At 37.9% G+C, this 25,592-nt stretch overlaps 1 protein-coding gene across 2 annotated transcripts in view, besides 1 other annotated feature; it reads left to right on the forward strand.

Annotated features, from left to right (window-relative positions):
• The window catches only part of MYO16 (myosin XVI), a 712,290-nt gene that overhangs the window by 47,201 nt on the left and 639,497 nt on the right, over nt 1-25,592 (forward strand). The gene's annotated exons all lie outside the window — the stretch shown is intronic.
• Nucleotides 18,608-18,777: an enhancer, noted in NCBI's record as "experimental_32288 CRE fragment used in MPRA reporter constructs". NCBI's record gives its function as "activates a minimal promoter by MPRAs in K562 erythroleukemia cells, with activity observed for both the introgressed and non-introgressed 13:109213957 variant alleles {active_cell/tissue: K562}" and the evidence as "EXISTENCE:reporter gene assay evidence [ECO:0000049][PMID:34662402]".

Here is a 25,592-nt window from a genome sequence, read left to right on the forward strand (position 1 = left end):
ATAATATGATTTTATTATTATGCTACACAGTTATGGTTTTTTAAATGAATATGTCAACATCAACCTGAAGCTGAATACAAACGGAGAAAACATAGTTTTGTATTCCACAGAAATTAGGTATTTGATTTCATCTCAAAATATTCTGTGTATTTATTTTAATAAAACACATTTTCAATATCAAATATAACAAGTCTTTCGCTAAAGAAAGTATCAAATAAATATTTGGGAGGGATAAGGAATGTAATTTTTAAGTGAGTAAAATAAAGAATAATTCTTTGATGGTTTGTTTGAAAAAGAGATATTTCCAAGTATTAAAGTTTAATTGCAATAATTTATGTTTACTATGATTGTAAAATGCACAGTAATATCCAATAGGTAATTTCACATATTTTAAGGATAATATACCTTCATGAAACAAGATTTTATTTTGGTAAAAAAGAATCCCAGGCCGGGCTCAGTGGCTCACGCCTGTAATCCCAGCACTTTGGAAGGCCGAGGCGGATGGATCACGAGGTTGGGAGATCGAGACCATCCTGGCTAACACGGTGAAACCCCGTCTCTACAAAAAATAAAAACTTAGCCGGGCGTGGTGGCGGGCGCCTGTAGTCCCAGCTACTCCGGAGGCTGAGGAAGGAGAATGGCGTGAACCCAGGAGGCGGAGCTTGCAGTGAACCGAGATTGTGCCACTGCACTCCAGCCTGGGCGACAGAGCGAGCCTCCCTCTCAAGAAAAAAAAAAAAAAAAAAAGAAAAAAATCCCAGAATATTTTATTTGACCAAAGTTAAGGTACTAGGCAAATCAATTACTTTCCCTTCCTTTTTTTCTTTTTTTTTTTTTTTTTAATCACACACTTAAAGAGCATGATAAGGCTGGGCATGGTGGCTCACACTTGTAATCCCAGCACTTTGGGAGGCCGGGGTGGGTGGATCACCTGAGGTCAGGAGTTCGAGACCAGCCCGGCCAACATGGAGAAACCCCCTCTCTACTAAAAATACAAAATTAGCTGGGTGTGGTGGTGCATGCTTGTAATCCCAGCTATACGGGAGGCTGAGGCAGAAGAATCGCTTGAACTTGGGAGGCGGAGGTTGCAGTGAGCCGAGATCGCACCATTGCACTCCAGTCTGGGCAACAAGAGGGAAACTCCGTCTCCAAAAAAAAAAAAAAAAAAAAAAAGAGCATGATAATTTATTTTGTTTTTTATTTATATCCCATACTATACGATGTTAGATATTTACTGTTTTTAAGCTCTCATGTATTAATATGTTTAAATTAATATTCCAAGTTGTGACCTAATTTATTCTAGGTGGAATGTAGCCATCAGTTCTCACTCTCAATTGATCTTCCTTTAATCAGGAACAATCACCAGATGTTGTCCAATCACGTAAAACCTTAGATATGAGATGAGAAGTGAAAGAATTCACTGAGCCATATTTTACTTTTGTATTCACTAATTTGTTTAACTTTTTAAATTTTTAATTTTCGTGAGCACATGTGAGGGGTATATATTTATGGGCTATATGAGAGATTTTGTTCAGGCATGCAGTGCATTAATAATCACACCGTGGAAGTGGGGTATTCATCCCTTCAAGCATTTGTCCTTTGTGTCACAAACAATCCAATTATACTCTTTCAGTTATTAAAAGAGTTACATAGTTATAAAAGGTTATATAGTTATACCTATCTAACTTTCTATACCTATATAAAGAGCTTAAATATACAATTAAATTATGATTGATTTTAGATCCCCATTATACTATCAGTTACTAGGACTTATTTATTCTTTAAAATTTTTGATACCCATTAACCATTGCTAACTCCCACCTACCCCACCAGCATTCTTCCTAGACTCTGGGAGCCATCTTTCTGCTCTCTATCTCCATGGGTTCAGTTGTTATGATTTTTAGATTTCACAGTTAAGAGAGAACATGCCATGCAATGTTCGTCTTTCTGTACCTGGCTTATTCCACTTAACATAATGACCTCCAGTTCCATCAATGCTGCTGCAAATGATAGAATCTCACTCGTTTTTAATGGCTGAATAGTACTCCATTGTGTATAAGTACCACATTTTCTTTTCTTTTTTTTTTAATTTTACTTTTTATTTTAGGTTCAGGGGTACATGTACAGGTTTCTGATACAGGTAAATTATGTGTCACAAGGGTTTGGTGTGCAGATTATTTTGTCCCCCAGGTAATATGCCTACTACCTGATTCATGTTTTTTCAACGCTCACCTGCCTCCCATCCTCTACCCTCAGGGAGGCCCCGTGTCTGTTGTTCCCTTCTTTGTGTCCATATGTACTGGATGTTTAGCTTCCATTTATAAGTGAAAATGGAAAGTATTTTGTTTTTCGTTCCTTTGTTAGTTTGCCTACAATAATCGCCTTCAGTTCCATCCACGTTGCTGCATAGGACATAATCTTGCTTTTTTATGGCGGCATAGTATTCCATGGTGTATATGTACTGTATTTTATTTATCCAGTCTACCATTGGTGGGGATTTAGGTTGATTCCATGTCTTTGCTATTGTGAATAGTGCTGTGATGAACATACGAGTACATGTGCCTTTATGGTAGAATGATTTCTATTTCTTTGGGCATACACCCAGTAATTGGATTGCTGACTTAAATGGTACTTCTATTTGAAGTTCACACATTGCCAAACTGCTTTCCACAATGGCTGAACTAATTTGCATTCCCACCAGCAGTGTACATGCATTTTCTTCTCTTCACAACCTCACCAGCATCTGTTATTTTTTTTTACTTTTTAATAATAACCATTCCGGCTGGTGTGAGATGGCACATCACTGTAGCCTTGATGTTAAATCAAAGGAGCAGGGAAGAGGGATGGAGTTTGACTTACACCTTTAGGGAGTATTTGGTAGCAATGAAGACCTTGGCATGTTGGAGTCAGAACAAGGCTTAGTTTCTGCTTTTAATACTTACTGTGTGCTTGGACAACCTCTCCTGTCTTTAGTGAAATGGAGATACCTAACTCATAGTTTCTGTGAGGACCACATTTGAAGATTGTGGTTAGGGTCTGCCACATCGCAATCTCTCAGTCTATTCTAGTGACTTGCTGGTACATTTGCCATCATGTTGGGTCAGTGACCTTTGGCCATGTGGTCCAGCTTCCGTTATAGCTGGCCTGTGCGGCACTGTTCTGCGTGAGTGCAGACCCTCATGGGTATAAGGCCCCCAGTTCTCAGTGTGTTTTGACAGTCTATGATACAGGAGAGACAGACAAAAGTGAGGTCAGGGGCTACGTAGCACAGCCTAGAAGTGGCCTTGGATGACTGGGGTTTCCAGAGACGTCAATAGCTGCTTCTGCCAGAGGCCCTTAGGGTTGCGTTCTGAGCGCATCATTTCCAGAAGGCTGCCATCCATTTTGTTATAAGTGAACTGAAACTAGGGAGCTTTTCTGAAAATAGGCTCTTCTAGGGCAGTTGGTTTTAAGGGTGTTGAAACAAGATCAAGAGGACCCTGAAGGTGCATGTTGGCAGTTTAAAGTGTGTAATGTGGCAATGCAATATCTCTGGAGAAGAGATTTATCTTTAGAGAATCTATTTCTCTCTCCCCATGACACACACCCTCCACAATATATTATATACATATAGCTTATGACAAAGCTTGTCTGGCACTTTATGTTAAATTTCCACAGTTGCTCTCTGAATGTTTATTGTCCTCATTCACTTTCTGAATTTTTTTTGCAGAGAAAATACTCACTACAATAGCATTTCACGGATACCTGAGTTCCAGAGTGCGTCATTATACAGAATGCCATGGTCCTCACTCTTCCCATCACAGCATGGATGCAACACAGAACCCCAAAGTGGGGCATGGAAACCTTGTGTTTCCTCTTCTCGCTTCATTCTTGTTTGTCAGTGTAGTCAAAATAATAACATTTTGTATTTGCACAACATATTTCAGAACAGATCTTCAAATCACTGCAGAGAAAATCATATGAGGTTGATAAGTGGTGAATGGTAACCATTATCCTTCCTCCAGGAGAAAGGCATAGAACAGAATCAAAGTTGTCTCAGAATCAACTTGTATCAGCTCTAAGAATAAAACTCAGGGCCGGGTACGGTGGCTCACCCCTGTAATCCCAGCACTTTGGGAGGCCGACGTGGGTGGATCACGAGGTCAGGAGATCGAGATCATCCTGGCTAACACAGTGAAACCCCATCTCTACTAAAAATACAAAAAATTAGCTGGGCATCATGGCGGGCACCTGTAGTCCCAGCTACTCGGGAGGCTGAGGCAGGAGCATGGCATGAACCTGGGAGATGGAGCTTACAGTGAGCTGAGATCGTGCCACTGCACTCCAGCCTGGCCAACAGAGCAAGACTCTGTCTCAAAAAAAAAAAAAAAAAAGAAGGATAAAACTCCGGACTGTTGAGCACTGAGCCCACTGTCAATTCACTGGTACCCACAAGCAGTGTGCACAAATAATGTTTAACATTGGCTTTCGTGAGGTTGGGTGGGGGGCCCCTGATTGTGACATTTCCTGGTGTCTCGAGTGTGAACATGCCCATCATGGCTGATTTCAAGCTACCAACATGATGTCACTGAACAGAGTTGGGAGAGATGTGTACCATTGGGTTTTGACAGCCAGCGCACACCACTCTGTATACTATTAAGCACATCTTCTTGGATATTTAGTTAAAATTTATTGGATCATTATTAGGCTATTTCTAAGTGCAACATAATGTACTATGGCAGTTATAAAGAAATAGGCTATAGGCCATTTATCTAAGAGCTTACAAATAAAAATGGTGGATGAGATGCTGTTAGGCATTGGTTGAATAACAATCGCCATAGAAATGCCAAGTGGGTAAGATCACTTAAGACTGGATGAGTAGGGCTTTGCCTAATAGTATGTAAATAAAGAAAATCTTCAGTGTGCATACTGATTAATGAAGGCAGTCCCTATTCTCTTATTCTAATATGGATCATTCTTTTGAATTTGTCTCCCTTCCCTCTAGTTAAGATACAACATTATGTATACTTTCCAAAAGACAGTGTGGTTTGTTGGAAAAAGCAGTGATTCATCAAAAAGTTCTAGGTTTAAGAGCCAATGTGTTACCTTCTAATACAAGGTGTTGGGAAAGTCTCCTAAATGCCCTAACATATCTGAGTCCATGTTTTCTTCTTATATGAAATATATGAGATAATCTTTTAAAATCTTTTGATCTACTTAGCTCGTTTGTTTTGAGGATAAATGATGTATTCAAAAGGTAAAAATTAGTTTACAAGTGTACCATGGTGTATTACTGCTGCTGCATATGATAATGATGATGATGGTGGTGGTGGTGGTGGTGGTGGTGGTGGCAGTGGTGGTGGGAATGAGAGTTAGGATGATGATGCTGGTGGTGGTTAGGATGATAAAAATGGTGATGATTGTTGTTGTGGTGGTGGTGATGAGAATGATGACGCTGACGATGATGATGGTGGTAGCAGTCGGTGGTGGCAATAATGGTGAGGATGATAGTGGTGGTGAGGAGGATGATGATGGTTGTGATGGTGAGAATGGTGGTGGTGGTCTTGGTGGTGAAGACGATGATGATGCTGGTGGTAGTTGTGTTGGTAATAAAGGTGAGGATGATAATGGTGGTGAGGATGATGATGACAGTGATAGGATAGGGTTGAGGAGGATAATAATGATGGTGGTGGTGGTGGTGATAGTGAAGATAATGGTGTGGATGATGATGATAGGGTGATTATGTTAGTGTGATGGTGTGGTGGTTTTGATGAAGGCAGTCTTGATGGTGGTAATGATGATGATTATGATGATGAATGGTGATGATTATAGATATATCAATAAATACACTCACTTCAGCTGCTCACTTCAGTATTTTAGGTTCAAGATTAGCAAATAGGGTTTGCTAAGAATTCATTAATTATTGTAACTAGCCTTACTAGTAAGAATCAGTAAAATGAGAAAACTCAATGAATGCCAACACAGACATTTCTCCTTGTGCACAATTAATGAGTTCTTTTTCTCCATTTTGGGGAGGATGGATAGATATATCTATATCTAATGGATAGATCTATCTATAGATATACAGATCGATAAAGAGAAGAGAGAATTCCCACAGCACTGTGTTCAGATTGCACTGAACATACACGAGGGCAGGGATTTGGAGAGAATCTTACTGATTGTTAGATTCCCATATGTTGTAGGCAGAATAATGCTTCTTGAAGATGTCCATGTCTTGATCCCCAGAAACTTTGAGTATATTACTTCACATTGCAAAGGTGACTTTGCAAATGAGATTAAGTTAGGAATCTTGAGATGGTGAGATTATTTTGGGTCATCTGGGTGATCCCATATGATCCTACAAGAGAGAGATTATAAGATACCACACAGCTGGTTTTGAAGGGGAAAAAGGGGCTACAAGCCAACAAATGCAGGCACATCCAGAAGCTGGAAAAGGCTGGAGAACAGAGGTTCCTCTGGATCTTCTCAAAGGAGCACAGTGCTGCTGACACCGTTTCTGTATTTTTTTTTTTTCCAGTAACGCCTATTTTGGACTTCTGACCACTGTAACTGTAAAATAATAAATCTGTGTTGTCTTAAGGCACTGTTTGTGATAATTTGTTACAGTAACAATGGAAAACCAATGCAACATAAATAGAGTAAGGAGTTAGTAAATACCTAATGTGTAAGTAAATGAAAGATAGAATGAAGCTTATTAGATTTTATGTTAAATGCATGTGTGAAAGTCAATCCTTTGGGGATGGAAAGACAGTTATATTTGGTGGGTTAATGGGAGTGGGGAGAGTGGTCCTGGTAGCTATTTGAGATGAACAACTTTCAGATTATGGTAATAATATAAATAATGAGAAAAAGAAAAATAAATACCCAGCTCCTCCTGCACTAGAAGACATTAAAAAGTGATTAAAAGTTTAAAAGACCCTAATATGTTTCACTTAAAATGGAAGCTAATTTTGATAATAATGCAAAGCAGAAGGAGTCATAATGAATTCAAATTGTCTGAACTGAACTTTGGTGCAGACTTTCTGGCCCCTGCATGGGCAAGATACTTTGGATTTCTGTCCTCCATGATCTGCCATGTGGCTGGCACTGAATCCAGCTCTATTTCATCTCCATAATGTTGATAGGGCCAGCTGGCTGGCAGATCACACAACTGCCTTTGTGGACCCGTGGCCTGGATTGCAGATGGACAAGAAGTGAAGCATCTGAGCAATGCAGAGAGACACTGGGCCTCAGAGACACTTCAGCCACTGGCGACATGATTCCTCACCCATCTGCTCTTCGACACAGCTGCTGGGGGTGCTACTGCCATGGCGTCAGCCATTTGGCAGCTGAGCACAGAGTCTTGGAAAGAACGACAACCTTTGCAATTGTCTGGTAGTCCTAGCCATGCTGTACCCCTGAGCTTTTAACTTGAATATCACTTGTGGGTAAAACAAAGGACAAGCATGCTCAAGTCATGTCAGAAACTGAGCCTCCAAGTAGTGTTGATGCTTTACTTAGATTTAACACCTTGGACTTGAATCTAGAGTCTTTTGTTCCTTAAAGAAAGTATGAAAGTAGTTTCTTTTTCACCTGCAGGAGTACAAACAAAATTACAAATAGAGAAGCAAGCTGGTGATGTTTGTATTCTGGTTTGTATTCCTTGGTGATTTTTAACTAAGGCAAATAATATGGAATGATTTGTAGCACTTTGAGACTGATTTAAGTTATAATGTCTGTGAATCTGTAATAGAAATAAACTAAATTGAAAAAGAAAAGTAATGATTATCATTTGTCTTTTATTTTCTTAGACCTACCAAAGCTATCCCTCTCTTTTGGAAAAAACAAAACAAAGCATGTATTGAATCCCTGCTAATATTTTGGAACTGAATTATTGCATTTGGGAGAAAAGCATTATATTATTTTATTTTTTCATCTTTGCCAGCAATGGTAACTTGCTCCTTGACAGTGTGTCTTAAAAAGAAATATCCACAGGCATAATGCATGATTAAAAATGCACCTAACATTTTACACATTTGATAAATATTAAGGTCAGGAAATCAATATTTTGCGGCACTTGGTATTACCCCTTGTGCCTTTTTATAGAAACTTCTTCCTTTGTTTTTATGATACCGAAACAACATTGTTGCCTCTAATATATCATGTCCTCCTTGCTTTCCTTCACATGCACATTTTAATCTGTACTTTTCTTAAATAGGGGGGTTCTAAAAAACTCCATCTGTTCTATCTCCATTTGTTTTCATACTATACAATCTCCCTCAGTAATTCCTTCTTGTGCCGTTGGCTACATCTTTCAAGTATACCTAGTAACTTCCTTATTTACACCTTCAGCCCAGGTCTTTCTCCCGAGTTTCAGATGTATCCACACAGCTGAAGAGTCCCTCCTCCTGTAGCTTGCTCCCTAAGTCTAAAGTTGAACTGGCTCCCAAAACTGAGGCTGCTTCTTCAGTCTGCACACAAGTGACTGGTCCTGCCTGGCTATCTCTCTAAGCCTCATCTTTATTTCTCACATTACCTTGACTTGTCCATTTGCCATTTCTTGAACCTGTTTCCATCTCACCAGTCCTACAGTGAAGCCTCTGGTTTAGCCTTCTTCTATTTGTTACTTGAATTGTGCAGTCCTATCTTAACTGTCCTATCTATGTATCTCTAGAATGCCTCCTCTCCAATTCATTATCGCAGTAATTCCAGAATTATTCCAAACATGATCATATTTTTTTGCTCCACAAAAATCTTACAAGGATTCTGCGTTGCCCAGGGGATAAATTTTCACCCCCAAGATTTGTAGGAAAGGCCTTTCATGATTTAATCCATAGCTATTTCTCTCAACTTGTCTCTTATCACTTCACAACTAACATCTAATGTTCTAGGCATACTAAAGTTCCTGTGGTTTTCTCATGGTAACTGTTGTCTGGGAAATAATCCTGAGGCAATGGTAGCTTCCAAATACACTACCAGTCAGGCTGTTCCAGATGTTGAAAGACAGAAAATATCACACACCAAATTAAAACGAATGAGTCACTCTATCCACTAACTTAAACACATAGGAAGAAGCAATGGGAAAGAAATGGGCAAGTTAACTTCTACAGAGCAGGCTTCAGGCTGGCGGAGGGCCCATATCTCCCTGAGTCTAGGGACACTGATGATGATGATATGGTTATGAGGACCCTGACTGAGGTTTGAGGGAGGGGTCCATGGATAGAAGGTGTTTTGGGCCAAAGATACATGCTTCCTCTATGGGAGAGCAAGGTCATCTGGCTACAGGCGTCTCTTGCACCTTAGCCTCCTGGACAGCCATGGTTTTCATGTACTTTTCTTGGATTGTGTATATGTGGGACCAAAATGGAGAATATGCTGAGTGTTACCAGTGGATGGCTAAATTTGGGTGACAGAGCTGTCAACTTGGAGGTGGCAAGATCATGATTTGGTGCTTCTGTCCTTTCTGTCTATAAACATTTCTCTTTTTGTTGAAACGTGTTTTATTTTATTTATTCCGTCTCTCCTTGGCATGTCTTACAGCTCACTCACTCTCTTCTCGGCTCTGCCTGAGGTGCAGGAGCTTCCTGTTTACACATCATCCATACTGAACATTTTCCCTATATCTTGCAAACTACCAGCTTACCTACAGCTTATGTTCAACCCTTTTTATGAGTGCATCCAACCTGTTTGTGTATCTTGCCTTTAAGCAGAATTAAATATTCTCAAATACATTCTCAGATGAGTATCATCAAATTTATACGTGTGTTACAGTTATGTGCTGTGATATACCCCATGACTTCACTCCTTCCTCCTGTTATATCTGTCTCAGTCTGTTCTGTGTAACTGTAACAGAATACCTGAGACTGGGTACTCTGTCCCAGAAATTTACTGGATCACAGTTCTGGGGGCCAGGAAGCCCAAGGTCAAGGTGATGCATCTGTGGAGGGCCTTCTTGCTGTACCATCACATGGTAGAATAAGAAAGGATGAGAGAGAGCTACAGGGGACTGAACTTGCCCCTTTTAGAGCAGCACAAATCCCACTTATGAGGGTGGAGCCCTCGGTCTAATCCTCTCTGAAAGGTCCCAACTCTTAGTACTCTTTAATACTCTTTTTTTTTTTTTTTTTTTTTTTTTTTTTTTGAGACAGAGTCTTGCTCTGTCACCCAGGCTGGAGTGCAGTGGCCCAATGTCAACTCATTGCAACCTCTGCCTCCCAGGTTCAACTGCTTCTCCTGCCTCAGCCTCCTGAGTAGCTGGGATTACAGGTGTGTGCCACCACGCCCAACTAATTTTTGGTTAAGTTCAAGGCTGGTCTAGAATTCCTGACCTCATGATCCCCCTGCTTCAACCTCCCAAAGTGCTGGGATTACAGGTGTGAGCCACCGCGCCTGGCGTTAATACTCTTACAATGACAATTAAGCTTCAACGTGAGTTTTACAGGGGACAAACATTCAAACCAAAGCAGCATCTATCATCAGCCTTCCCTTTGACAGGCTCTTTTATATTTACCCTTCAAGACCCAATTCTCGCATCCCTGGGAAACTTCCTTGACCCTACCAGTCTGGATGAGAAGCCCCAGAGATAATGTTTATTTTGTCTACATCTGTCATGGTATTTAATCATACTTTACTGTAACTTCATGTTTACCATTTCATTCTCTCACATTACACTGGGAACAGCTTTGAGTGGAAATTTTAGTAGAATCTTTTATGTGTTGTTACTCTTAGTTATCCCAGGCTGAGTTATTCCCACGGTTGGAATATGAGGTTATGATGTTGACAACAAATAGTATATTTCCAGTTTTGCCTTCACTTTGGATTGCAAATATTCTGGTGTCACTTCAAGACTGTGTCTTCCCCCGATATTTTAAGAAATCTCAAGTGGATGTTTCACGTGTCTTCTTAGCACAGCCTTCTCAGCTCCCACCTGGGGTCAGTCATCAAACTTCTTCTCTTCCCTTACCTCCTCATGTCATCTTCTGCTGCCGATGCGAGTGCCCCAAGCGAGAAGAGAAAAGTGTGTTGGAAGCATGTGCCTGTTCTGTAGCCTGTCTCCCCCTGTGCTCCTTCTGAAGGCAGGACGCATCCTCACCAATGCACTCTGATGGTCCAAAGCCATGCGCTGCCTCCATGTTGCTAAACCGTGTGTGTTCCTTGATGTGCCATACATAGCACCTTGGGTTCTCTGATATTTAGGGCAAATACTCTGTCTTTATTTTATACTCTGTTTCATGGACCAAGTTAATTCTGCCTTAACTTGACGACAAATTACAGAAATTGTACACTGTGGAATTGCTTTTCTTCCTGAAATTTTTCTAGTCTGAATTCTGTGTTGCTCTGCCTTAAAAAAAGAAAAAAAAAAAGGCTTCCTTCCCTGGGTCTTTTTCTTGTGCTTTTATCATCAACAAAAAACAGAAATCCAAGGTCAGCACTGGCCTCCCAATCTTTTCTATAAATACCTGTTTGAGAGTGTTCATACATTCATTTCCCTTGAATTACTACCTTTATGATGTTGGCTCCAAATGCTTAAACCCTTAGCTTTGCCATCTCATTCAAGCACTGGCCATGTTCTTATTCTTGTCCACTTATGCACAGAAGTTTTGATGTTTGCCTGGTTCCATGAATTTCTCAAATCCACATTTATAATATTTTATTTGAAAACCATCTGTCTCAGCCGGGCGTGGTGGCTCACGCCTGTAATCCCAGCACTTTGGGAGGCCGAGGCGGGCGGATCACGATGTCAGGAGATCAAGACCATCCTGGCTAACACGGTGAAACCCCGTCTCTGCTAAAAATACAAAAAAATTAGCCAGGAGTGGTGGCGGGCGCCTGTAGTCCCAGCTACTCGGGAGGCTGAGGCAGGAGAATGACGTGAACCCGGGAAGCAGAGCTTGCAGTGAGCTGAGATCGAGCCACTGCACTCCAGCCTGGGCGACAGAGAGAGACTCTGACTAAAAAAAAAAAAAAAAAAAAAAAAAGAAAGAAAATCATCTGTCTCTACCTATCTTTTGGTAGTGGTCTTCCATAAACTTGGAAGAGATCTGGATATAATCTAACCAATGCAAACTTCTCAAATTATACAGAAACCTTATTTATTTATTTATTCTATTTTACCTGCTAACATTGGAAATCTAGCAGGTATTTAATAAGTAGTCATTAATCGGCTAGTCTCAAAAGAGAATTATTAAATATTTGGGGCTGTGTGTCTTCTTTAAAGCAATTATTTATCATTTTATCTAATCAGTTAACAAGGTTTTATTAGGTGCTCATTGTGAGTTGGGCAAAGGACAGAAAGTAAAGCGTCACAGGCACACAGGTAAGCTGAACTCGGATGATATCTGCCAGTGTATATGTGAGATGTGATAGATCCCTGAAGGCCACTGGCTTTCCGATTTTTAAAACATTTTTTAAAATTTATTTTCTAAATTGACAAATAAAAATTGAATGTGTTCATTGTGTACAATATGATGTTTTGAAATAGAATTTGGAGCCAACATCATAAAGGTAGTAATTCAAGGGAAATGAATGTATGAACACTCTTTAACAGGTATTTATAGAAAAGATTGAGAGGCCAGTGCTGACCTTGGATTTCTGTTTTTCGTTGATGAGAAAAGCACAAGAAAAATATGCATTGTGAAATGGCTAAATCGAGCTAATTAACATAAGCATTGCCTCACATAGTTATCTTTTTTTGTGTGTGTTGAGAACACTAAGTCTACTGTCTTAGCAATTTTCAAGAATACAAGAATTTGTCATTAACTGTAATTACCATGTTGTGTAATAGATCTGTTGAACATATTCTATCTAACTGAAGTTTCACATGTTTTGACTGACATCCTCCCAACTCCCTCCTCCTCCTCCCCTTACCACACCTTCCACTGGTCATTATTCTACTCTCTACTTCAGTAAATTCAACTTTTTTTGATTCCACATATAAGTGAGATCATGTGGTATTTGTCATTTTGTTCCTGGTATATTTCACTTACCATAATGTGGTCCAAGTTCATTCATGTCGTTGCAAATGACAGAATTTCCTTCTTTGTTGTTGAATAGTATCCCATCGTGTAGATATATCATATTTTCTTGTATCCATTCATCTGTGGATGGACACTTAGGTTGATCTATATTCTGGCTATTGTGAATAATGCTAATGGATACTTAGGTGATAATATATCTTGGCTATTATGAATAATGATGCAATGAATGTGTTAGTGCAGATCTCTCTTTGACACACTGACTTTATTTCCTTTGGATATATATCTGGTAGTAAGACTGCCGGATCATATGGTGGTTCTATTTTTAATATTTTCAGGAACTTTCACACTGTTTTCAATAATGGGTGTACTAATTTGTATTCCCACCAACAGTGTGCAAGACTTCCCTTTTCTCCACATCCTTGCAACACTTTGTCACTCTTTGGCTAATAGCCATTTTAATGGGTATGAGGTAATATCTCATTATGGTTTTAATTTGAACCTGATGATTAGTGAGTTTGAGCCTTTTTTTTGTATACCCGTTGGCCATTTGTATGAATTCTTTTGAGAAATGTCTCTTCAGATCCTTTGCCCATTTTAAACCAGGTTATTTGTTTTCTTGCTATTGAATTGTTTGAGTTCCTTATGTATTTTGGATAATAATCTCTCATCAGATATATGGGTTGCTAATATATTCTCCCATTCCATAGGTTGTCTCTTCACTCTATTGATTGTTTCCTTTTCTATGAAGAAGTATTTTAATTTGACACAATCCCATTTGTCTAGTTTTGCCTTTCTGGCCTCTGAGTTTGGGTTCATATTTAAAAATCATTGCCCATATCAATGTCATGGTGCTTTCCTCTATATTTTCTTCTAGTTGCTTTATAGTTTCAGATCTTGAATTGAATTATTTCATCCATTTTGAGTTTTTTTCTTTTTGTATGTGTTGTTTGGTAAAGATATAGCTTCATTCTTCTGCATATGGATATTCAGTTGTCCCAACACCACCTACTGACAGGACTCTTCTTTCTCCATTGTGTGTTGGCGCCTTTGTCAATAATCAATTGACTGTTATTGTGTGGATTTATTTCTGGGTTCTTTATTTTGTTCCATTAGCCTATGCATCTGTTTTTATGCTGGTACCGTGGTATTTTAATTACCATAGCCGCCTATTATTTTGTGAAGTCAAGTAGTGTGATGCCTCCAGCTTTGTTTTATTTGACCAGGATTGCTTTGGCAATTTGGGGTCTTCTGCAGTTTCACAAAAATTTTAGGATTGTGTTTTCTATTTCTATGAAAAATATTGGAATTTTGATAGGGATTGCATTGAATATGTAGATTACTTTCAGTAGTATGAACAACTTAACAATATTAATTTTTCCAATCCATAAACATAGGATTCTTTTTATTTATTTGTGTCTTTTTCAATTTCTTTTATCAAAATTTTACATTTTCAATGCACAGGTCTTTCATCTATTTGGTTAAATTTTAGGTTTTTAGATCATAATGCACATTAAGTAATACATTTAACAGGGCATCAAACATTTTGTTTGTGTGCACAAACCATGTAAACATACACATACTTGTAACTGAAAAAACAGTATAACATATAACTGAAACAAAAGTTTCACAAAACAATATTTGTCTTATTGTATGAGATAGACTTTGATACTTTTAAGCCTAAAAACAATGCTAGTTGTTATCCTCTGAACTGGGTCCTTGAACCACAGTTTGAACAGAATTGCTGTGGTTTACTTGAAGTTGAAGACAATTGGCATTTATTTCGTTCCTCAACATAGGAAATGGTATGTGTATTATAAAACCTTAAAAGAAAAGAAAACTTTTAATTATATAAATATAATGAATGAAAAGAGGTCAATATTTAGTTCAAAAGAAAGAATTGAAATACTCATTTTAGCACTAGATCTTTTAAAGGCAAAAAGGGGTTATGCAAATAAAAATGAGCATTACATATGCATTTCCTTTTTTATTAAATTTTATTGTCCTATAGTTATACAAAGTGTATATCATTATACACATATAGATAGATAGGTGATAGATACACACACATACACATATATGTTATCACATAGTGAGGCTACATAATAATTGGAATTAAGCAACCATTATCAAGCAGCCCTGAGAATAATTAAGGTAATCCTTTATGAAAATTTTATTTTCAATTTTCTTAAAGAAAGATTAAAAATTTTAGGAGCCTTACAGTAAAATGAAAAACAAAATTAAATATCAATTTTCCACAAACAGTGCTTGAATTTCTCTCCTAGCAAAGATAAAGGTGCCAGAGCTTCAGACACATGCAGATTCTCCCCTTTTTATACAACGTATTCACTGTGCCAAAGTGTGGCCTGCTTTACATGGAAGTCGAATTGGCTTTGGTGATTCCTGCTGGCTTCCCCATTTCCACTGAATTTTGCCTTGGGAAATGTCTCCTTGTCCTTTTGCCTCTCATGTTTCCAGGAGGGCTTGGCACATCAAGAGGCATCATCTTTGCCATGCTTCCTTAGGTCTGCTTTGAATCAAAGGGTAAGACATTGATGACTGACAGTTGAGTGTCCTGAGTGTGGGCACCTCGACTGTGTCTTTTCACAAAAGATTTGCAACTGTGGCGATGAGCATACAGTGTAGGGTTCTATCAGGTACTTGAAGATAAAATCTCCCTGAGGGAAGTGAGGAGAGGATGAGGCCTTTGCTGTCTCGCAGCAGAAGCCTCCTCCACTCACCTCAGCTCCCACGAATGGATTATAAACCCAGGCACACCCTGGAAATTTTTCCAACACCAGCTGGCAGAGCTGTCTGCCCTTGCTCCTGCTGCCTCCTGTAACTTACACGTGAGCACCTGCCACAGAAAGTCCAGGGTTATGACCTTGGGATTCAAGGATCTGCAAGAAAACAGTTCAAACTCTAGGCAGGTGTAATATCCCATCCTTGGGTATCTGTGTGGAGAGACATTGACCTTTTGTATTATTTTCATTTCAAAATTCATTTCAAAAACCCACTATTTTTGTCATTCGCTCATGTATTGGTGAGCACAGCTCAATATTTGTGGTTGCCTCTTCACACAGATCAATGAAGCAGTGAGCTGATGAGATGTTGATTTTTTTTTTTTTTTAAGTTTTGTAGATACATTTCCTCAATAGCACTGTAATGGGTTGAATTGTGTCTCTGGAAAATGTTGAAGTCCTAACCGCTGTACCTGTGAATGTGACTTTATTTGAAATTAGACCTTTACAGATGTAATCAAGTTGAGTTCATTAGGGTGAGTCCTAATCCCATATGACCATTGTCCCTACCAGAAGAGACACAGAGACGTACACAGAGAGGGAAGAGTGTGTGAAGACACATAGGGAGCACTCTGCGTGACCACAGAGGCAGAGACTAGAGTGACATATCTATATGCCAAGGATTGCTGGGAGCCCCAGAAACAAATGCATGGAGCAGGTTTTCCCCTAGAATCTGCAGAGAGGGCATGCCCTGCCAACACCTTGACTTGCATTTCCGGCCCCCAGGACTGTGGAAGATTACATTTCTGCGTTTTAAGCGACCCAGTTTGTGGTGCTTTTCTTTTTTTCTTTTTCTTTTCTTTTTTTTTTTTTTTTTTTTTTGAGACGGAGTCTTGCTCTGTCGCCAGGCTGGAGTGCAGTGGCGTGATCTGGGCTCACTGCAAGCTCCACCTTCTGGGTTCATGTCATTCTCCTGCCACAGCCTCCCGAGTAGCTGGGACTACAGGCACCCGCCACCACGCCCGGCTAATTTTTTGTATTTTTAGTAGAGACGGGGTTTCACGTCAGCCCGGATGGTCTCGATCTCCTGACCTCGTGATCCGCCCACCTCAGCCTCCCAAAGTGCTGGGATTACAGGTGTGAGCCACAGCGCCCGGCCTTGAGGTGCTTTTCTGTGGCAGCCCTAAAAACTCATGCAAGTGCACAATCACTGTGCCAGTAAAGATTCTATAAGAAAAACAAGGTGCAGGAACACTAAATTTTCCATACCTAGAAATCAAAAGCTTTAATTTTAGACAACTTCCCTGTATTTAAAATTACAGCACTATGACCAGATATTCAACCTGGAAATTAGTTACTTAAAAATTGTTATGGTAGACTAAAGCCCCTCTAACACCCTTCCTAATGGTCCTGCAAGTGGGCTCATGTTCTTTTCTTTAGGGCTTTTAGAAAATGTTAGATATGCACCTGCAGTGTTCTCTTCAACAACAAGAATTAACCAGAGATTTTCTTTTCTAATGTTGAATTATCATTGCTTGCAATTAATATTTCAGGCTAAGAGTAAGCTAAGATGAAAGAACTCCTATCTATGAAGGCACACTGCTGTCTATTCATATGATGCAGTTCACCATACACTGGGACTTGAGCAGCAGAGCTTCGCTGGCGTGTTACCATGTTGCAGAGTTGCCATGGCAATATCAAACCAATGAATGGGCCACCTCCCAGAGACAGGGTGGTGAGCAAGTGTGAAATTGATTCAGTTGTACACAGGGATACGCTCAAGCCAAATTTGTCAAGATAAAATTTCTGGTAGGAAACTGCATTTTAAAATAGACATTATAAATATGATATTAAATATTTGCTTTGGATATTCCAGTAAAAGGGTACTTGAAAATTAAGTGTACTATGCTAATTTTATGCTTTTCAATGTACTGTCTACTTTGCACTTATTTCAGATAACACTGATTTTTCCACTCATTTAAATTTGGATATCTAAAGAAGAATTTTACACTTTACATTAATATTTTCAGTTATGTGTCTTTGAAGTTAAACTGGTGTTATTTGCTTATTTTATATTAATGTGCTTAGGGAAATGACTTTTTAGGAAATACAAACAAAAGTTATGCATATCATTTATTTTTAGATGACATTTATAAATTACATTTTGCATTGAATAGTATAAATATTATAAGTAGTTCAAATCAGATAAAAATAACCAAGTTTTAACATTTTAGGACTTTAGGAGCCTATGGTTAGGCTTTACAAAAATAATGTATTCACATGATATTTTATTGTTTTCAGAACTTATTTTTAGCACTCCATTGTTATAGAGTTATTAGATATTAAGTAAGTCTTGAACTTGGTCACCATAATCTTTTATGATACATTTTTATTTTGAGCTACTTGATACAATAGATGTTATTTGCTTCCTGTCTTTTCTTACTCATGATGCATATACAAGGCTTTGTCTGTCCCATAAGGTTGCTGAAAACACTGAACAGGGACGGGTCTGTCTGTGATGTGTCAATTACTGAAATGCCTCTCTCAGATATTAAATGCAGTTTATATTAACAAAATACATTGATCAGGTATAATCAGTTTGAAATTAGGAGATGACTAATCTCAGGAGACCCTTACATACTATGGACTGTCTCTTTCCCATTAGTTCAACTTGTAGAACAGAAGAGCATGACTTGTTTACGTAACAGAAACCAATATTTACTCTCTTTTATTCTCTTGGCATAGACTTCCAAGGGCAACGTTTGCCAGATCCTGGCAAAACCCTTGCTGACAATGCATTTCTTCTTGGGTAATTAAATGGAACTCTCTAAACTGAAGCAATGCTGCTTGAATATTTTTATAACTTTCTAATAGTTACATGTGAAAACCTTGGTTTTTTTCTTATAAAAGGTACAAATGTTTTTAACTGAAACTGAGGTTAGGTATTATAAAGTGTGTTCCATTCTGTGCCTTAACCTAAAACTGTGGTTTTACATTAATGTTTATTTTAAGGCACTAGCACATTAAACTGATGCTATAGATTAAATCAGACTTTCTATTCAATCACGCAGATATCTACTTGTAGCAGATGCTATTATGTATTCTTATTTGTAAGCCCATTATTTCTTATTTGTAAACCATTCTTAAGGGAAAAAATGCATATTCAAAACCATAAATGAGATGAGCTTCTCAAGTGAGTAAATCAAATAAATTCTCTTGCTACAAAGTCTTTCTAGAAGTAATGGTCTATTGTATGACATTAGTAAGCCTATTCAAAATGGAATCTCAGGAGACAAGGAGAATGTTTATAAGGACATCATTCCATCAATACATGTAGGCATTTGTGAGCCTGCACTCTGGAATCAATTAAACCTTCGAATTTTACTTTCCCAAGTAAGCTTTTTCACAGAAGGTATCTGTCTTATCTTGGGCTGCTCAACAATGTATTGTAGATTTTGTTTATGGACTTTATAGTCAATACAAAATAAAAATTCATTTCTCATGGTTCTGGAGATTGGAATCTGAGATCAGATGCCAGCATAGTCCATTTCTGGTGAGGGTCCTCTTCAGGGCTGCAGCCAACCACCTCCTCAATGTCATCTCACATGACAAATAAAGCATTCTGGAGTCTCTTTTTAGAAGGGCCCTAATCCCATTCATGAGGGTTCTACCTTCATGACTTAATCACTTCCCCAAGGCTCCACCTCCAAATACCATCACATTGGGGTTAGTATTTCAACATATGAATTTTTTAGGGGGTACGAATATTTAGTCCTTTGCAGAATCCCAGCTGTCAGAGAATATAAGAAAATGTAGGAAGAGTAGAAAAAGGGATGATTCATTTTAGAATCACTGTGACATGCACACTGGTCCACCATTGGATGCAGGTTTTAAGGATGGCATATTTATATAACAGCGTCCCACTTCTGGGAAACTTACTATGCAAACTGCTTAGGGTATTTCCATTTAAAATGGCTTCATATCACAATTGTGATATGATTTTGGCATAGATACAGTCACATGCCACATAATGATGTTCTGGTCAACAATGGTGGTCCCATGAGATTATAATACCATATTTTTACTGTACCTTTTATATGTTTAGAAATACAAACACTTTTCATTGTGTTACAGTTGCCTAAAGTATTTAGTATAGTGCATGTTGCACAGGTTTGTAGCCTAGGAGCAATAGGCTATACCATATGGCTTGGGTGTGTAGGAGGCTGTCACATTTAGGTTTGTGTAAGTGTTTAATGACACGTTTTCAGAATGTATCCTCATTGTTAACGGACTGTGTTTGTGATATCCATATGTATACATATGTATAAATATGTATATGAACCAGTGTTGGTCTGTGAAATTTTGTTATTAATCTCTAAAGAGTACAGGCATTGACAGGATGTATCCAGAAGTATTTAGACCAATCTGACATTGCTGTGACATCCAATTGCCTTACTAGGAAACTCATTTCATTGGCATGGACCAGATAAGGGAAATGCTTTCTGCGTTTTGTTATTGGAGTTTTAAAAAATCTTAATTTTTTAATGTGAAATATTTTATAACAATATAAGTATTTTAAAAATTGTTTATTTTTAATTTTGTGGGTACATAGTAGGTGTGTCTATTTATGGGGTTTTGATACAGGCATGCAATGCATATAATCATGTCATGGAAAGTTAGGTCTCCATCCCCTCAAGCACTTATCCTTTGTGTTTCAAACAATCCAATTATACTATTTTAGTTATTTTAAAATGTATGATGAAATTATTATTGACTGTAGTCCCCCTATTAGGTGATTAAATACTATGTCTTATTCATTCTTTCTAACTAATTTTTTGTACCCACTAACTATCACAACCTCCCCCCAACACACTCTCCCACCACCCTTCCCAGCCTCTGATAACCATTCTTCTAATTTCTATGTCCATAAGTTCAATTGTTTTGATTTTTAGATTCCACAAATCAGTTAGAACATTTGATGCTTGTCTGTCTGTATCTGGCTTATTTCACTTAACATAATGATCTCCACTTCCATCCATGTTGTTGCAAATGACAGGATTTCATTCTTATTTATGGCTTGAAGAGTACTCCATTGTTTATAAGTACCACATTTTCTTTACCCATTCATCTGTTGATGGACACTTAGGTTGCTTCCAAATTCTGGCTATTATGAGCAGTGCTATAACAAACATGGGAGTGCAGATATCTTTTCAATATACTGATTTCCTTTCTTTTGGGGTATATACCCAGCAGTGGGATTGCTGAATCATATGGTAGTTCTACTTTTAGTTTTCTGAAGAAGCTCCAAACTGCTCTCCATAGTATTTGTACTAACTTACATTCCCACCAACAGTGTACTAGGGTTCTCTTTTCTCCACATTCTTGCCAGCATTTGTTATTACCTGTCTTTTGGATGAAAGCCATTTTAACTGGGGTGAGATGATATCTCAATGTAGTTTTCATTTACATCTCTAATGATCAATAATGTTGAGCAATCTTTCATATGCCCGTTTCATTTGTCTGTCTTCTTTTCAGAAATGTTTATTCAAATCTATTGCCTTCTTTTTTTTTTTTTTTTTTGAGAGGGTCTCGCTCTCTTGCCCAGGCTGGAATGCAGTGGCACCATCTTGGCTCACCACAACCTCCATGTCCCAGGTTCAAGTGATTCTCCTGCTTCAGCATCCCAAGTAGCTGGGATTAAAGGCGTCCGCCACCATACCTGGCTAATTTTTGTATTTTTAGTAGAGACGCGGTTTCGCCATGCTGGTCAGTCTGGTTTCCAACTCCTGACCTCATGATCTGCCCATCTCGGCCTCCTGAAGTTCTGGGATTACAGGTGTGAGCCACTGCACCCGGTCCCTATTGCCCATTTTAAAATCAGATGATTAGATTTGTTTTTCTATAGAGTTGTTTGAGCTCTTTATGTATTCTGGTTATTTATCTCTTGTCAGATGGGTAGTTTGAAAATATTTTTTCTCATTCTATGGGTTGTCTCTCCACTTTGCTGATTGTTTTCCTTGCTGTGCAAAAGGCTTTTTAGCTTGATGTGATCCTATTTGCCCATTTTTGCTTTGGTTGCTTACGCTTGTAGAATATTACTCAAGAAATTTTTGCCCAGAACAATGTCCTAGAGAGTTTCCCCAGTGTTTTATTTTGGTAGTTTCATAGTCTGAGGTCTTATATTTAAGTCTTTAATCTGTTTTGTTTTGATTTTTGTATAAGGCAAAGATGGGGGTCAAGTTTCATTCTTCATTCGTATGGATATCCAGTTTTCCCAGCACCACTTTTGAAGAGACTGTCTTTTCCCCAATGTATGTTCTTTGCACCTTTGTTGAAAATGAGTTCACTCTAGGTGTCTAGATTTGTTTCTGCATTCTCTATGCTCTTCCATTGGTCTATGTGTCTGTTTTTATGCCACTACCATGCTGTTTTGGTTATGATGCCATTGTAGTATAATTTGAAGTCACGTAATATGATTACTCCAGCTTTATTCTTTTTCCTCAGGATTTTCTTACCTATTCTCTATATTTTGTAACTCCATATAAGTTTTAGAATCTTCTAATTCTTCCAAGGATCTTCTATTTAGATTCTTCTTTTTCTTTGAAGAATGTCATTGGTATTTTGACAAATATTACATTGAATCTATTGGTTACTTTCAGTAGTAGGGACATTTTAACAATATTAATTATTGCAATCCATGAACATGGAATATCTTTTAATTTTTTTGTCCTCTTCAGTTTTTTCATCAGTGTTTTATAGTTTTCATTGCAGAGATATTTCATTCATTGGTTAAGTTTATTCCTGGATATTTAATTATATTTGTGGTTATTGCAAATGGGATTACTTTTTTATTTCTTTTTCAAATTTCTGACTCTTGGCATATAGAAATGTAACTGATTTTTGTATGTTGATTTTGAATCCTGCATCTTTACTGAATTTGTTTATCAGTTCTGGTAGGTTTTTTTGATGGAGTTCTTTAGGTGTTTTCAAATGTCAGATCATATTATCTGCAAACAGGGATAACCTGAATTTTTCCTTTTCAATTTTGATACGCTTTATATCTTTTCTCGTGTCTGATTGCTCTAGCTAGACCTTCCAGTATTAAATTGAATAACAGTGGTGACAGTTGGCATCCTGTTATATTTCAGATTGAAGAGAAAAGGCTTTTAGTTTTCCCCCATTCGGTATAATATTAGCTGTGGGTCTGTCATGTACAGCTTTTATTACGTTGAGGTTATGTTCCTTCTATACCCAGTTTTCTGATGGTTTTTATCATGAAGGGACGTGGAACTTTATCAAATGTATTGTTGAATTTGGTTTGCTAATGCTTTGTTGAGGATTTTTGCATCAATATTTGTCAGAGATATTGGCCTGTAGCTTTTTTTTTTTAATGTGTCTTTGACTAGTTTTGTTATCAGAGTAATACTGGCTTCATAGAATGAGTTTGAAAGTATTCCCTCCTCTATCTTTTGAGAAAGTTTGAGTATGATTAGTATTAGTTCTTTAAATATTTGCTAGAATTCAGCAGTGAAGCCATCAGGTCCTGGGCTTTTCTTTACTTGGAGAGTTTTTATTATGGCTTCAATCTCATTGCTTGTCATTGGTCTGTTCAGATAACAGATTTCTTCATGGTTGAATATTGGTAGATTGTATGTATTTAGAAATTTATTTGTTTATTCTAAATGTTCTAATCTATTGGTATATAGTTTCTGATAGTAGCCACTAATGTTCCTTTGAATTTCTGCAGTATCAGTTTTAATGTCTCTGTTTTAATCTCTGATTTTCTTTATTTGAGTTTTTTCTCTTTTTTTCTTAGTTTGGCTAATGGTTTATCAATTTTATTTATCTTTTCAAATAGCCAACTTTTTTTTTTTAGCCAGGCATGGTGGTGGGTGCCTATAATCCCAGCTACTCAGGAGACTGAGGCAGGAGAATTGCTAAAGCCCAGGAGGCAGAGGTTGCAGTGAGCAGAGATCATGCCGTTGCACTCCAGCCTGGGTAATAGAGTGAGACTGTGTAAGAAAGAAAGAAAAGAAAAGAAAAGAAAGAAGGAAAGAAGGAAGGAAGGAAGGAAGGGAAAGAGAGAGAGAGAGAGAAAGGAAAGGAGGAAGGAAGGAAGGAAGGGAGGAAGGAAGGAAGGAAGGAAGGAAGGAAGGAAGGAAGGAAGGAAGGAAGGAAAGAGGTACTTAATTGAGTGGGTGTTTAACTTTTGATAAGTAAGTAGGTGATAACAAGGAAAAATAAACTTCCAAGTGGAAGCAAAATGTTTTCTACAGGCTATCGGCTGTGTTTTGGGTTGACAATTAGAACAATTTGACTAGGATAGAAGCATAATGAATGTGGAGTACTTGAAAGTAACATGGACAAATGTGGGAATGTGGCCAGTAGATGGAGATTTTTAAATGTCAAAAGATTGAATATAATCTTGTAGGAGGTGAAGATGTATTGAATATCTTTGAGCTGAAACATTCCACAGAAAACAACAAACTGTAGGAATTTGTTTGCCATATAAGTTGGAGAGAGGAAGAACTGTAGGCAGGATAAAAGGTTTGGAGGATATTGAAGTAGTTTAGCCTCGGAGATAACGAAGTAAATAATCAGGATGATGGAAGTAGAAATAGGAAGGGAAGAGCAGTTAAGGGAAGTGTCAAAAGAATGAACAAAACTTGATGACTGGTTATGAAGGGAGAGAGAAATATAGATACTAACTTTAGAGCTTGGAGCACAGACCCTTGGAGAAAAGAGGATTTCTTGACTGATAATCGAAGTTGATAAGGGAGAATGACTTTGTTAGCCCGGGTGATAAGATTTAATTATACCCGAATTGAGATACAGCAAATAAAAATGGCCAACAGACAGTTGAAAACATGAGGAAATGTGGGAGTGGAGAAAGAATTCAAAGATACATTGCGATTACCTGAAAATTACTAACAGAACCACAAAGAGGATACTCATGGCATCTCTTTGCTTTGTGTAATGAAATGAAGAGAACTTGGTGATATAATGATGTTTTTGAAACAATGTCATGCAGCACATTAAAATGTGAATGAGCATGGCAAAGTCAGCTTCTGTTTTAACATCTTTATTGAGATACAGTTCACAAACTATAAAATTCCCCTTATTAAAGCATACAATTCAATAATTTTTAGTACATTCAGAGTTGTGCAACAATCACCACAATCATCACCCCACTACCCACCCCCCTGAAAAAACTCTCTGTACTCATTAACAGTTACTTCCTATTTCAACTCACCTGCTCCACCAGCTTCTGGCAACCATGAATACATTTTTCGGTCTCTTTAGATTTCCTCACCTATACTGAACATTTAATGTAAATAGAATTATACATGTGTGTCCTTTTGTGTCTGGCTTTGTTCACTTAGTATAATGTTTTCAAGGTTCATCCATGTTGTGGAATGGATCAGTACTTCATTTGTTTTTAACACTGTATTCAGTATTCCATTGTAGAGATAAACCATATTTTATTTTCCATTTATCAGTTGATGGACATTTGTGTTATTTCTACTTTTTGGTTATAATGAATAATGTTGTGAGCATTCATGTATAAGTTTTTTATAAATGTAGGTTTTCATTTATTTTGCATCTATGAGTGCAATTGCTGGGTCACATGATAACTCCAATTTTAACATTTTGAGAAGCTATCAAACTTTTCCAAGTGACAGTGATATTTTAAATTCCACCAGCAATGCATAAGTGTTCTAATTTCTTCTTATCTTCATTAACACTTATAATTGTCTGAGTTTTGATTATAGCCCTCCTAGTGAGTGTAAAGTATCTCATTGTGGTTGTACTTCACATTTTCCTAATAACTATATATTCAGCATTTTTTATGTGCTTATTGGCTGTTTGTATATCTTCTTTGGAGAATGATCTACCC

The sequence above is a fragment of the Homo sapiens genome, chromosome 13, assembly GCF_000001405.40.
Source record: "Homo sapiens chromosome 13, GRCh38.p14 Primary Assembly".
NCBI lineage: Eukaryota > Metazoa > Chordata > Mammalia > Primates > Hominidae > Homo > Homo sapiens.